Genomic DNA, 12,606 nt, shown 5'->3' on the forward strand with positions numbered 1-12,606 from the left:
TTGTCTGAAATATCTTTTCTTTAGCTTACTTTGTTTACTTTTGTGCATTTGTTTTTCCGTTATTCCTTTATGAATAAGGAAGTAAGTTGGCCAATATAGGTATCTGATGTAGAGTTCCTCTGATACCATGCAGGGTTTTTTTTTTTTTCTCTCTAATAAACTTTTCTCCTTAATGGAAAGCTGCTAGTAAACACTCTCTGTAATTGGGACTTAAAAACCATCATCTTTAGTTTTGGGCAGTATCATTAGGATATAAGCTAGACTTATCACCAGATATCCCAGTAAAGGAAGTCTTTACTGTTGGACTCAAACACCTATGCCAGGAATCCTCTCTAGACACATTGAATTTCCTTAAAGTATTGTTTTCAGTTTTTAGTCTGACAAAATCTTTCTAGAAGACTTCTACCCAGAGAGTGCATGATTTCTCAGAAAAGGCTTCCTTCTAGTATGTATAAGCTCTGAATGGCAGATATGTTTTGCCATTTTGTTCACTGATGCATCCCAAGTACCCAGGACAGTGCTTGCCATATAGGGACTGATTTTTAATTCCTGCCCTTTTTTGGGGCTACAGAGTATTGCTTTCTTGGGACCCACATATCAGATAAATATTTAAAATATTTATCAGATATCAGACAAATATTTAAAAGGATTATTGTTCAATTTTATTTAGCATTTCTAGGTATTTTGAATAGGAAACTTTTTTAGTCAGCTGATCTCTCTTAGAAGTCTTTTAAAATAATTCCTCAAGGAAGATGTTGATATTTCACATTTATTGTTTAGGGAAAAGATAGAATTTCCAGGCTTCTAAAGTTAATAAAGTTTCTTATTTATATCATTATTAAGGAAACTTATTTTTTCATTAATATAAGTTATTGTGTGTGACCTAATTTGGAGGTCTTTAATTAGAAAAAAATTCTAGAACCTGATAGTAATGTAGACACTGAAAACTAGCTGCTTTGATACATTTTTAAGGTTTTTTTTTTTGAGCTTAAATTTTTACTAAAAACATTGCTTTTATAGTTAAATATTTCAAATCCAGTGGAATAGCCTCTAATAAAATGCTGATTATATTACAGGTGCAAATTGAGCATGACCCAGAATTAGAAAAAGAAAGGTATGTTGCTTTATGTTTACTAACACTTTTGTATAGTATTTAGTTTCTGAATTTTATTGCTGTATTTTATAGTAATGGCTCACATGTAGTGAAAAGTTCTTTTCTGCATATTTATTTTGTGTACATATGGGCTTGTTACAGTTTTCTTTTTGGACTCAGCCTGACCTAGGAGTTTCGTTTGTTGCTTTTTATTTACTCTCATTTAAGTATTTACTGAATATTTAGAGTAACTGCGTATATAAACAGTTTGAATTAAATAAACCACTTTATAAAATGTTTTAAGACTCTCGAATAACTCAACATCACGAACAGTAATTACATTGTTTTTGTTAGATTTTCCTATTCCAAAATAAACACGGTAGTAAAATTTTAACCTTTTAACGTTACTTAATTTCATTGTGTGTTTTGATACTTTTTAAAAACAACTGGGTTGGGGCGAGTAAGTATTTGTCCAAAAAAATTATGTATATAGTTTTGCATTATCAGAGGAATGAAAGCTTGTTTTTCAAAGTCTCCACAAACTGGTGACTTACAGCCTTGTTTTGACCACGTAAAGTACACCCTCTCCTTAATAACTTTCTCATTCTGATGGATATCCTCCTTATCACCACCCTTGTTCCACCAGTTGATGACTTGCCTTTCACTGCTCTTCATTGTAAATCACTGATTTAGAATATTTCTTTTTCCTCCTGTATACTGAGTCATCAATATTTATTAGTCCTTGTTGTAAGAGCGTATATTTGTTTGAAACAGCAGTTTGAAAGTGTTTAAATATGTAAAGTGTTTATTTTATCTGATGCACTGATGTTAAGATCCCTGAAAAACAGAACGTCTTAGCGGATTTTTCTTCTCAGTAATTTTTATAAAATCAGATTATTTTAGTTGACAAAGATGATGAGTACATTAAAATATACCAGTAACATTAAGCAATAGGTTTGCTCTGTGTGTCAGCACAGGGTTATTTAAGTTGTATGTCATACCAGGTGCATTCACATACCTAAGAAATAGTACCACCAGCAGTGTGTGATGTGAAAGCTCACAAAGGGCTTAATAAATAACAGTGCCTATGTAGTACTATATATATAGACCTAAAGATTGGCCACGTTAACTCTGTGGCAAAACCCATTTTATTTCATTTTACAAAGATTTTTTGAGGTCTGCATGAAAAGTTGTTCTCCATAGCAATAGCAGTTGGTCATTGTTCTCCTCTCATTGTTTAGACATAGCTTTTAAAATTGAATATATTTCTTAAATAATTTATAGATGTATTCAACCTCATAAAACTAATTTTTAAAATTAGCACCAAAAACTTCTTAATTCCCACCCCCCCCCGCCTTTTTTTTTTTTTTTTTTTTTTTTTTTTTAACATTAGAGAAAAAGATGTGGGATATGTCCAGAATACTAAACATTTGTTTTGGAGTGAACTGATGCTGAGAAAATACTATTTGTTGTTTTTGTTGTGTTTTTTTTTAGAGACAGGGTCTTGCTATGTTGCTCAGGCTGGCCTTGAACTCCTGGGCACAAGCTGTTTTCCCACCTCAGCTTCCTGTGTAGCTGGTACTACATGCACTTGTTTTGTTTTGTTTTAAAGCACTTGTGGTTGCCAATTCATTATGAATATGATACTTTTGTTTATAACTAAACTATTTAAATACTGTTTAGAGGAAACTCGTGGATACATTCATAATTTAATAATTCACACTGTACTCATTCTGTTGATATGTAAACAGATTTTATTTATCATCTGATTAAAGCCACAAATAAGAATGCTAAGTGAAATTTTTCTAATTCATTAACATTAGGAAGTAAACAGTTGGCCTCTGAAATAAACACTAATCTTTAGTATTGTGAAGTCCCAGTTTAAGGTTTCTCAGAATGTTTGTCTTTCAGTGTTAACGTTTGTTCTAATGCCCAGCTTTTATTGTATGCTTTTTCTGAAGGCTGTGAAATTCTGGTATTACTGGGATATTGGGGCTGGAGGGAGGAGTGGCAAATGAGATATCTGTATCTCAAATGCCTTTCTGGAATCCTTTTCTGTTCCATTTCCCAGAATGTGGCTGTTTTCATTTGATCGTTACAAAGAGTGGTTGTTTAACTTTGGTGTTAATGTCATTTATTTGACATTTCAAACTGTCTTTTCAAACTAACTTGATCAATATTGAGGCTTTTTTCCCATATTAGCCAGAAAGCAGATACTAGTTTTGGTAAATGACTTCTCTAAAGAAAACACTATGATTTGAAAAGACTAGCACACAAGGACAAATATGGAATTAAATAATTCTTCTGAGTAGACCTGTGTTCTCTGTTTCAAGTATGGAACTGCATAATGGTTCAGTTTGTATATAAGATAATAACTTTTTTATTGAAAAACTTGTGAAGGGGAAAGTCTTGCTATATCCTTGAGCCAGGAATCAAGGTCTCCATTGTTATCCTAGCCCCATAGATGTTTTTACTTAGCCCTAAGTTTCTAAAGTTTTATGTAGGGTTAATATGCAGTACAGTAATGAGGCAGGAATTTGAATATTTTCTTCATTATTGGAAATGAGTCTTGTAATTTAAAGACAAAAGCTTGTTTTGAGAAGTAATATTCATATACCTGCTGTAACTGTGAATGTCACTGCTCTTTTCTGGTTGTGCTTTGCCACAAATTTTATTGTGAATTGTAAAGATTTGAAACTCTTAAAATTAGCCATTTATATTTTGAAAAAAAGGGGTGTGATTATTTTAAAAAAAAAACATTTTAGCATGCAAAGAATAACTTGCACAATGGATAGAATATATATTGATTAAGGTTTAGGGTCAAGAGGTATTTCTCTAATCTGGTAGAAAAGTTTTCTCCTCAGGATGTAATCTTTGGGGCATGAGGGAAGACCAGTTTGGTTCAAATGATTTAAGACCCTGATGTGGTAGCACAACTTTCTTAAATATGGTTAACATCTCAGCACACAGATATACACCATCTTGTGTTGTTAACTGAAGGGTACATGGCCACCCTCTAAGAAGCAGGTCAAAAGGGATGGCTCATCCTCTCCTTCCTTAAAAAATAGGAGAAGAAAGTCAGTACTTTTTAATAATCAGGTATTGATATGATAGGATCACTCTCTGGTGTCTTTCTCCAATCTGCTGCTTCTCATTATATGAATATATTTGGTAAATTTTAATTTGCATTGATAGCATGTTGGGCATTGTTTTTGGAAGCTAAGGTTTTCCTTGTTCTTCAAGAAAACCTCTGATTTGTGGAATATTGATATAAAAATAACTTATTCTGTGTCTACCTCGGTGAAAGTACTGGAATTATAGGACTACTCACTTTTCATATACTTTAGATTTGGGAAGACCATGATGAAATAAGATGAATTACATATACTTAGCCATGTATTTCCTCCATTTCTTCTGAATATTACTTACACATTTAAGTTAAATATTAGAATTATACATTATTCTCTTGAATTGGGAAGGTTTATTTTTTAATGCATTTCTTCTTATAGCCAAAGGCAAATATTTATAAGACTGTATGTTCACATAAGGTGATTATATCAGGTTTTGTCACTAGCTTTAAATCCTCAATAGAGTATATAAAGAATACTTTCCAAATAATGTTCTAAGTATTATCATTAATAAATATGGTTCTTGGGTAATTAAAAAAATATTTTACATCCAAAAAAAAAATAAAAAGGTGATATGATTTAGAGTATGGTCTTTTCCCCCCACCAGTTTCTGTTTATGTTCTTTTTAGGTAAGGTTCACTTATAAAATTTTAAATCATAATGCATGGATCATTAGTTTTATTGTAGAACTGTACACATATTTTATTATTTCAGTTACCACTGTTGGGAATAGGACCTGATAATATTTGAAGTGTCTCAGATTCACATTTGACCTTTCAATGTCAGGGGTTAACTTGACAGAGGAGGGAAAATATTGGCTGTAATCACATGAGCGCAAAAGGAACATATCAACAGTCATAATTTATATTATTTACGTATTTCCAGCAATACATCTTACCCATTTTATGCTGATTGGTTGGATTTCCCAGTGCTTATTACGAATGCATCAGGAAGTCTTAACAATTGGCATCAGCAGGATTCTTTATAATGGTTGAATTCTCATCATAGTTTGATTTTTGTTTGTGTTTTTGTTTGTGTTCTTTTTGTTTGTTTTTAAATACTTTTAGCCCTGGCTTGAAAAACAGTCCAATTGATGAAAGTGAGGTGCAAACAGCAACTGATAGTCCCTCTGTTAAACCTAATGAGCTTGAAGAAGAAAGTACTCCCAGCATTCAAACAGAAACTTTGGTACAGCAGGAAGAGCCTTGTGAGGAAGAAGCTGAAAAAGCAACATGTGATTCTGACTTTGCTGTTGAAACTTTGGAGCTTGAAACTCAAGGAGAGGAGGTCAAAGAAGAAATTCCTCTTGTAGCATCCGCTTCAGTCAGTATTGAACAATTCACTGAAAATGCCGAGGAGTGTGCTTTAAATCAGCAGATGTTTAACAGTGACTTGGAGAAGAAAGGGGCAGAAATTATTAACCCTAAAACAGCATTGTTACCATCTGACAGTGTGTTTGCAGAAGAAAGGAACCTCAAAGGAATTCTAGAAGAATCTCCATCTGAAGCAGAAGATTTCATTTCTGGAATTACACAGACTATGGTAGAAGCTGTAGCTGAAGTAGAAAAAAATGAAACTGTTTCGGAAATATTGCCATCAACTTGTATTGTGACGTTAGTACCAGGAATTCCCACTGGGGATGAGAAGACAGTGGACAAAAAGAATATTTCTGAAAAAAAAGGTAACATGGATGAAAAGGAGGAGAAGGAATTTAATACTAAGGAAACCAGAATGGATCTTCAAATAGGAACAGAGAAGGCTGAAAAGAATGAAGGTAGGATGGATGCAGAAAAGGTGGAAAAGATGGCAGCAATGAAAGAAAAGCCTGCAGAAAACACTTTATTCAAGGCATACCCAAATAAAGGAGTGGGTCAGGCTAATAAGCCTGATGAAACTAGTAAAACTAGTATTCTGGCTGTATCAGATGTATCTAGCAGTAAACCAAGCATCAAGGCTGTTATAGTCTCTTCTCCTAAGGCAAAAGCTACAGTTTCAAAAACTGAAAATCAGAAAAGTTTTCCAAAATCTGTGCCCAGAGATCAAATAAATGCTGAAAAGAAACTTTCAGCCAAGGAATTTGGTCTGCTTAAACCCACAAGTGCCAGGTCAGGCTTGGCAGAAAGCAGCAGTAAATTCAAACCTACTCAGAGCAGTCTTACCAGAGGAGGCAGTGGAAGGATCTCAGCCCTGCAAGGCAAGCTTTCTAAACTGGATTACAGAGATATAACAAAACAATCTCAGGAAACAGAGGCTAGACCTTCCATCATGAAACGGGATGACAGCAACAATAAGGTGAGGAGGGTAGGAAGAATGGCACAGTGTGTCTTTGAAGTGATTAGCTCCGCTGCTGTAGCTATGTAGTAGGAGATGTAATTTTGTTTCATACTTTCATCTCCTCACTCTACCCCGGAAGCTCCCATTTCCTTTTCTTAAATGATTCCATTGTTTAAGCCAGTAGACATTCAGAGTATTAAACTCAAGTTCATAATTTATTGACATGTTTGAAAAGCATTATTTGGATACAATTTGGAAATAACTGTGGTTTAAAAAAAAAAAAAAAAAGTCTGCAGTGAATCTCCTAAGGTGATTTACCACTCTGCTTCTGAATGGGAAACTGTTTCCTCTCTTAAATTGAAGCTTCCTTTATCAGGTCACTGATTGCCTAACTAGACATTGTGGGACGAAAAGATCAGTAAAACTGAATTTAACTACAACTTGTACAGACTGTGCCTATACTGTTTAGTGACTGTTGACTTAGTTTTGTATACATGTTAAATAATTTGCATAATTGACTGTATTTGGGTAATGTTTACTGTTTTTTTTTGTTTTTTGTTTTTTTTTCCAGAACATTAATAATATGGTTGTAAATTCCGTTTTTCTGTATTTCTTATTTACTATTTCAGACTTTGGCTGAGCAAAACACTAAGAATCCTAAAAGCACTACTGGTAGAAGTTCCAAATCTAAAGAGGTAAAAAATAGATCACAGACCCTAACCCTTCTTTTTCATCTCCATAGCACAGTTCATCTATCTTATAACTTGTGCCTGCCTTAACAATGTTAGTGACTAAGAGTTTAGAGCAAGGGATAGGAATGAGATGTTTTGTTTTTAACTTATCTCTAATCCTACCATTAATTTACTTTTTGACCTTGAGCTAGTCTAAACACCTTGTGTTTTCTTGAGGCGGGGGGAGCGGGCAAAATGTTATATGGGGACAGAAAGAGAGTAGAGTAGGGCAATACCTCCAATCTCATATTGACAGGAATAGGTTGTAGACACAGAAAAAAAATTTATATATGTGAAAGAGACTGACATTTGACTTGAGTCATCCTCATTTTGTTAAAACAGGTTATCCTTTTGGCTCTAATTTAACCTTAAGTGGATGGTCTCTAAGATTAACTTTACTGGTACCAAGTTCTGTTGTCAAACATATTTTATATTTGGTTGTTATTTTAGGTTTTTACCATTCATAGAATTTTTTTCAGTCATTTTACTTTTCTTACCTGGTAGGGGATAGATTTGGGCCTATGTTGTTGGGGCAAGGAGAAATGTTACTAGTTTTAAGCAGAAATAAGGATTATGGCTACTAAAGCAGAAATAAGGATTATGGCTACTAAAGCAGAAGTAAGGATTGTGGCTACTTCAGTTTGCTTTGTTAATTTGATAGTACAATCGCTTGTAGATATTCTCCCTAGAAATTACAGGGTACATATTCTAATGTCGTTATTATATATAATAGCAGTTAATCATTAATAACATACTAAATGTATAGGAGCCCTGGTAGGAATTTATCTTCTTTACTATTGACGGCATTTTTAAAAATTACAGATACTGTTGTTTTCAAATACAGTTATGTTAGTCATTGAGTCTTAGTAATAATTTTTTCATACAACTTTCTCAAAATGTAACCATTATATTTCTTTTATTATTATTATTATTTTGCAACGAAATCTCACTCCTGTCCCCCAGGCTGGAGTGCAATGGCGTGATCTCGGCTCACTGCAACCTCTGCCTCCCAGGTTCAAGTGTTTCTCCTGCCTCAGCCTCCCGAGTAGCTGGGTGGCATCTGCCACCACACCCAGCTAATTTTTGTATTTTTAGTAGAGCTGGGGTTTCACCATGTTGGCCAGGCTGGTCTCGAACTCCTGACCTCAGGTGATCAGCCTCCCAAAGTGCTGGGATTACAGGCATGAGCCACCACGCCCGGCCTGTATTTCTTAAAATATGTATTCTATATATAATTAGTTAATGTGTAATCAATATATACTGATAAATGGAACAGCCTAATTAGCTGTTTACTTTCTAACTATATTTGAGGTGCTTTTAGAAGTCCAGTAAGTCTTCTAGAGCACTTATTAGATGTTTGACATATGGAACAGTAAATCCTTTGTACTGTCTGACAAATACTTTAAATGTATTTTTATGTGTCATACTTCGAAACTCTTCATTTAGGAAATGTAATCTTATTGAATTTAAGTAAAAGTGGAATTAGGTTGATACTGTTAGAATTTTACTTTTGGATTATACTTTGTGAATTATAGCTAAGTCATTTGTGGGGCTTTAAAAAAAACAACTCTTAATTTTAGCCTTTAGGAAAACTAATTTGCACTGAAATTCTCCCAAATGATCTGCATGCACATTTATTGTGACTATTTGGAATCTAGCCAGTGGTCAAAATTTGTTTACAATACTATGATTTTTAACTTTCCAACAGGAGCCATTATTTCCATTTAATTTGGATGAATTTGTTACTGTGGATGAGGTTATAGAAGAAGTGAATCCTTCTCAGGCCAAGCAGAATCCACTAAAGGGAAAAAGGAAAGAAACTCTCAAAAATGTTCCTTTCTCTGAACTTAACTTAAAGAAGAAAAAGGGGAAAACTTCCACTCCTCGTGGTGTTGAGGGAGAACTATCTTTTGTGACATTGGATGAGATTGGGGAAGAGGAAGATGCAGCTGCACATCTAGCACAAGCTCTAGTCACTGTGGATGAAGTAATTGATGAAGAAGAACTAAATATGGAAGAAATGGTAAAAAATTCAAATTCACTTTTTACATTAGATGAATTAATTGACCAAGATGATTGCATTTCCCACAGTGAACCTAAAGATGTTACTGTTCTGTCAGTGGCTGAAGAACAAGATCTCCTCAAACAGGAACGCTTGGTAACTGTGGATGAAATTGGAGAAGTGGAAGAGCTACCTTTGAATGAGTCAGCAGACATAACTTTTGCCACTTTAAATACTAAAGGAAATGAAGGAGATACTGTAAGGGATTCCATTGGCTTCATTTCTTCTCAGGTGCCCGAAGACCCTTCTACTTTAGTTACTGTAGATGAAATACAAGATGACAGCAGTGATTTGCATTTAGTGACTTTGGATGAAGTAACTGAAGAGGATGAAGACTCTCTGGCGGATTTTAACAACCTTAAAGAAGAGCTTAATTTTGTTACTGTTGATGAAGTTGGAGAGGAGGAAGATGGAGATAATGATTTAAAAGTTGAGTTAGCACAAAGCAAAAATGACCATCCCACAGATAAAAAAGGGAATAGAAAGAAGAGAGCTGTGGACACAAAAAAGACAAAACTTGAATCCTTGTCCCAAGTGGGTCCAGTAAATGAGAATGTTATGGAAGAAGATCTAAAAACCATGATTGAAAGACACTTAACAGGTAGATACTTGGAAGGGGTAGTCTTTCTGTTTTATGAGGGGATTACATTTAAAATTAATTTTAAAATACATGTTGTGGCATTACCAATAATGTCACCCAGTATTGATATTAGAGGCCAACAGACAGTTAAAGTCAACAATAAATTTTCCAAAGAAATGTGTACAAGTTTCACAGTTTTTTAAAGTTTTACAGCAGAACTTGCTCCAGGTTATGCTTCAAGAAAGGATGACAAAAAACAGAAAACAAACTGAAGTAGCCAAATTAGAATTGGAATGAAAATGATATATTTGTATTGTGGGAAAAAGACAACTTTTGATAAATAGAAGAACATTTACATCAGATTACCTCCCAGTTTTTGCTTAGACTTAGAATTAAGAACTATTTATAAAGGAACTATTTGATTTTAAAGTAATATTGTAATGATACAGAATAGTACGGCAGCTCACTTTCCGAACTTGAGGGAGATAAACATAATTTCCATTAAGAAAATCTTGAGGCCAAGTATTGTGGCTCACTCCCGTAATCTCAGCACTTTGGGAAGCCGAGGTGGGAGGATCGCTTGAGGCCAGGAGTGCGACACCAGTCTGGGCAGCCTAGCAAGACTCCGTCTCTACAAAAAATTAAAAAATGAGCCAGGCACGGTGGCATGCGTCTGTGGTCCCAGCTGCTTTGGAGACTGAGGCTAGAGGATCGCTTGAGCCCAGAAGGTCGAGGTTGTGGTGAGCAATGGTTGTGCCACTGCACTCCAACCTTGGTAACAGAGTGAGCCACTTTGTCTCCAAAAAGAAGAAAAAAAACCTGAAAGATTTAACTCAACTAAGAATAAAATACTAGGAAGGTCCCACAGGCTTATGGAACAAATTAGAAAAACATTTATGGACATCCTGGGAAAAGAAGTTAGAAAAGCATAGTTACTTGGAAAATGATAACTGGGAACAAAAGGAAATGCTTAGATTAAACTGATTATTTTAAAATAGAATTCTTCTATTTTATATTAGCAGTAGGCTTCCCTCCCAAATTTGGGTATTTTTTGCAAAAATGTATAATGTTGATTCAGACAGTATAATATGTTTAATTTAAAGCAATTTAAATACTGTTACTAGAGCAATAAATTAGGACTTTCTTTTTAAAGCTAAAACTCCAACCAAGAGAGTTAGAATTGGGAAAACTCTGCCATCAGAAAAAGCTGTTGTGACAGAACCAGCAAAAGGTGAAGAGGCCTTCCAGATGAGTGAAGGTAAAGCAGGATTGTTGGAATGGGAAGGAAAGTTACACAACACAGGAGAGTAGTTGAAGTTTAAAGATCTATCTAAGAAGAAAAGTAGAAAATCAGTGGAATAGAGCAGGGGTGGGAAAAGTCAACTATAGTTATTAGATGTGGGTAACATTTTGATCTTTGTAATGTAGAGAGAATGGATTATTGATATTAGAATGTGACAGATTAGAGGAAATGATCCTCGAAAGGTTTTCTGACCATGTTGCAGCATCAGATAGAAATTATTTATTAACTAGCTATTATTTGTGGACCTTGCTTTGTTGATGCTTGTCAGCAGCCAGCCAATGAATTAAACAAGAAGCCTTAATAGCGTTTATAAAATTTAACTTGAAACAAATAAGGAAGGGTCTAGTGAGAGAGAATACTTTAGTCACTCAGCAGATACTTGTCATATTGTATTGGGTATCCTTCATAACAATGTTAAAAAGGGTAGACAAAAGAAAGTACATAGCTCTTGCTCTCAAGGGGTTTATTGATTCAGAGAGGTTAAGCAAAAAATCACCTTGCCAGTATGATTTAAATAGAGCACTGTAAGGGTATCGCTTTTACCATTCTCTTTGTAGCACCCTCATTGCCCTCTTTCTTTCCTATCCTATCTTCTTTAAGGAAAACTTACCAAGTATGATTTGGTCCAAGGATTTCAGGTGGGCTCTCAGTGCTGCTCCCAATATATTAGAGGTCTCCTTCCTTTACTATTTCCTAACCAGATGTAAAATTAGCTTTCCCCCCCTTCTACATCACCTAACCCGTTTCTCATTGGATGTCCTTGCTTTCGTTTTTATTTGCCAGAGTAAATCTAGGATCTCCCTTGTCTGCCAACTTATATTTTGTTTTATACACATAAAATATAAAATTTGGCCAAGTTTTTCCCATTGAAAGAAATATCCCTTTGACCTTGAAATCTCTCTAGCTCCTATCTTTTCTACTTGCTTTTAGAGCAAAACGTCTAGAAAGAACCACCTACTTTTACGTCTTAATTTCCCATGGAACTGAATGTATTTTGGTTTCTTTCTCCTACCACTTTCCTGAAAATGATGTTGATGAAACCCCCATTAGGTTGTTGTCAAACGTGATTTTTTAAAGTGTTTTCTTCTTAAGTTAGTCTTACTTGACTTTTCCACATGATTGGTTACTTTTGATTATGCCCTCTCTTGAAACTCTTTGCCAAGTCATGGTCAAGTGGGTATTCCTTCTTCCTTGTCTATTCTTTTCCATAAACAATCTTTGATAACCAAGCTATAGGTGGTGGTTCAGTAATTAGGTTCTCGCATGATTTCATGAGGTCACCCCCCGACTTCAGAATTTCTGTATGGTAGGGCAACCTTGGCAATCAGCTTGCTTAGAACTGCCTCATTGCAACTGAGTAATATAAAAGGATGATTTAGTTACTGCTTACGTAACAATATATTTCTACTAATGAACAATATGTTTTGACAAAAGG

At 34.7% G+C, this 12,606-nt stretch overlaps 1 protein-coding gene across 4 annotated transcripts in view, besides 1 other annotated feature; it reads left to right on the forward strand.

Annotated features, from left to right (window-relative positions):
* Window positions 1-12,606, forward strand: part of ZNF638 (zinc finger protein 638) — a 103,280-nt gene that overhangs the window by 85,744 nt on the left and 4,930 nt on the right. For all 4 annotated transcript variants that reach the window (NM_014497.5, NM_001252613.2, NM_001252612.2 and 1 more), the window contains exons 21-25: window positions 1,077-1,114; window positions 5,289-6,513; window positions 7,125-7,190; window positions 8,935-9,889; window positions 11,022-11,126. In NM_014497.5, the coding sequence (NP_055312.2) occupies window positions 1,077-1,114; window positions 5,289-6,513; window positions 7,125-7,190; window positions 8,935-9,889; window positions 11,022-11,126 (2,389 nt within the window). The remainder of the gene's footprint in view (window positions 1-1,076; window positions 1,115-5,288; window positions 6,514-7,124; window positions 7,191-8,934; window positions 9,890-11,021; window positions 11,127-12,606) is intronic.
* Window positions 6,394-6,688: a silencer, noted in NCBI's record as "tiled region #6666; HepG2 Repressive non-DNase unmatched - State 15:Elon, and K562 Repressive non-DNase unmatched - State 17:Gen3'". NCBI's record gives its function as "represses a minimal TATA promoter and a strong SV40 promoter by Sharpr-MPRA in HepG2 and K562 cells {active_cell/tissue: HepG2 | K562}" and the evidence as "EXISTENCE:reporter gene assay evidence [ECO:0000049][PMID:27701403]".

Source organism: Homo sapiens, chromosome 2 (assembly GCF_000001405.40).
Source record: "Homo sapiens chromosome 2, GRCh38.p14 Primary Assembly".
NCBI lineage: Eukaryota > Metazoa > Chordata > Mammalia > Primates > Hominidae > Homo > Homo sapiens.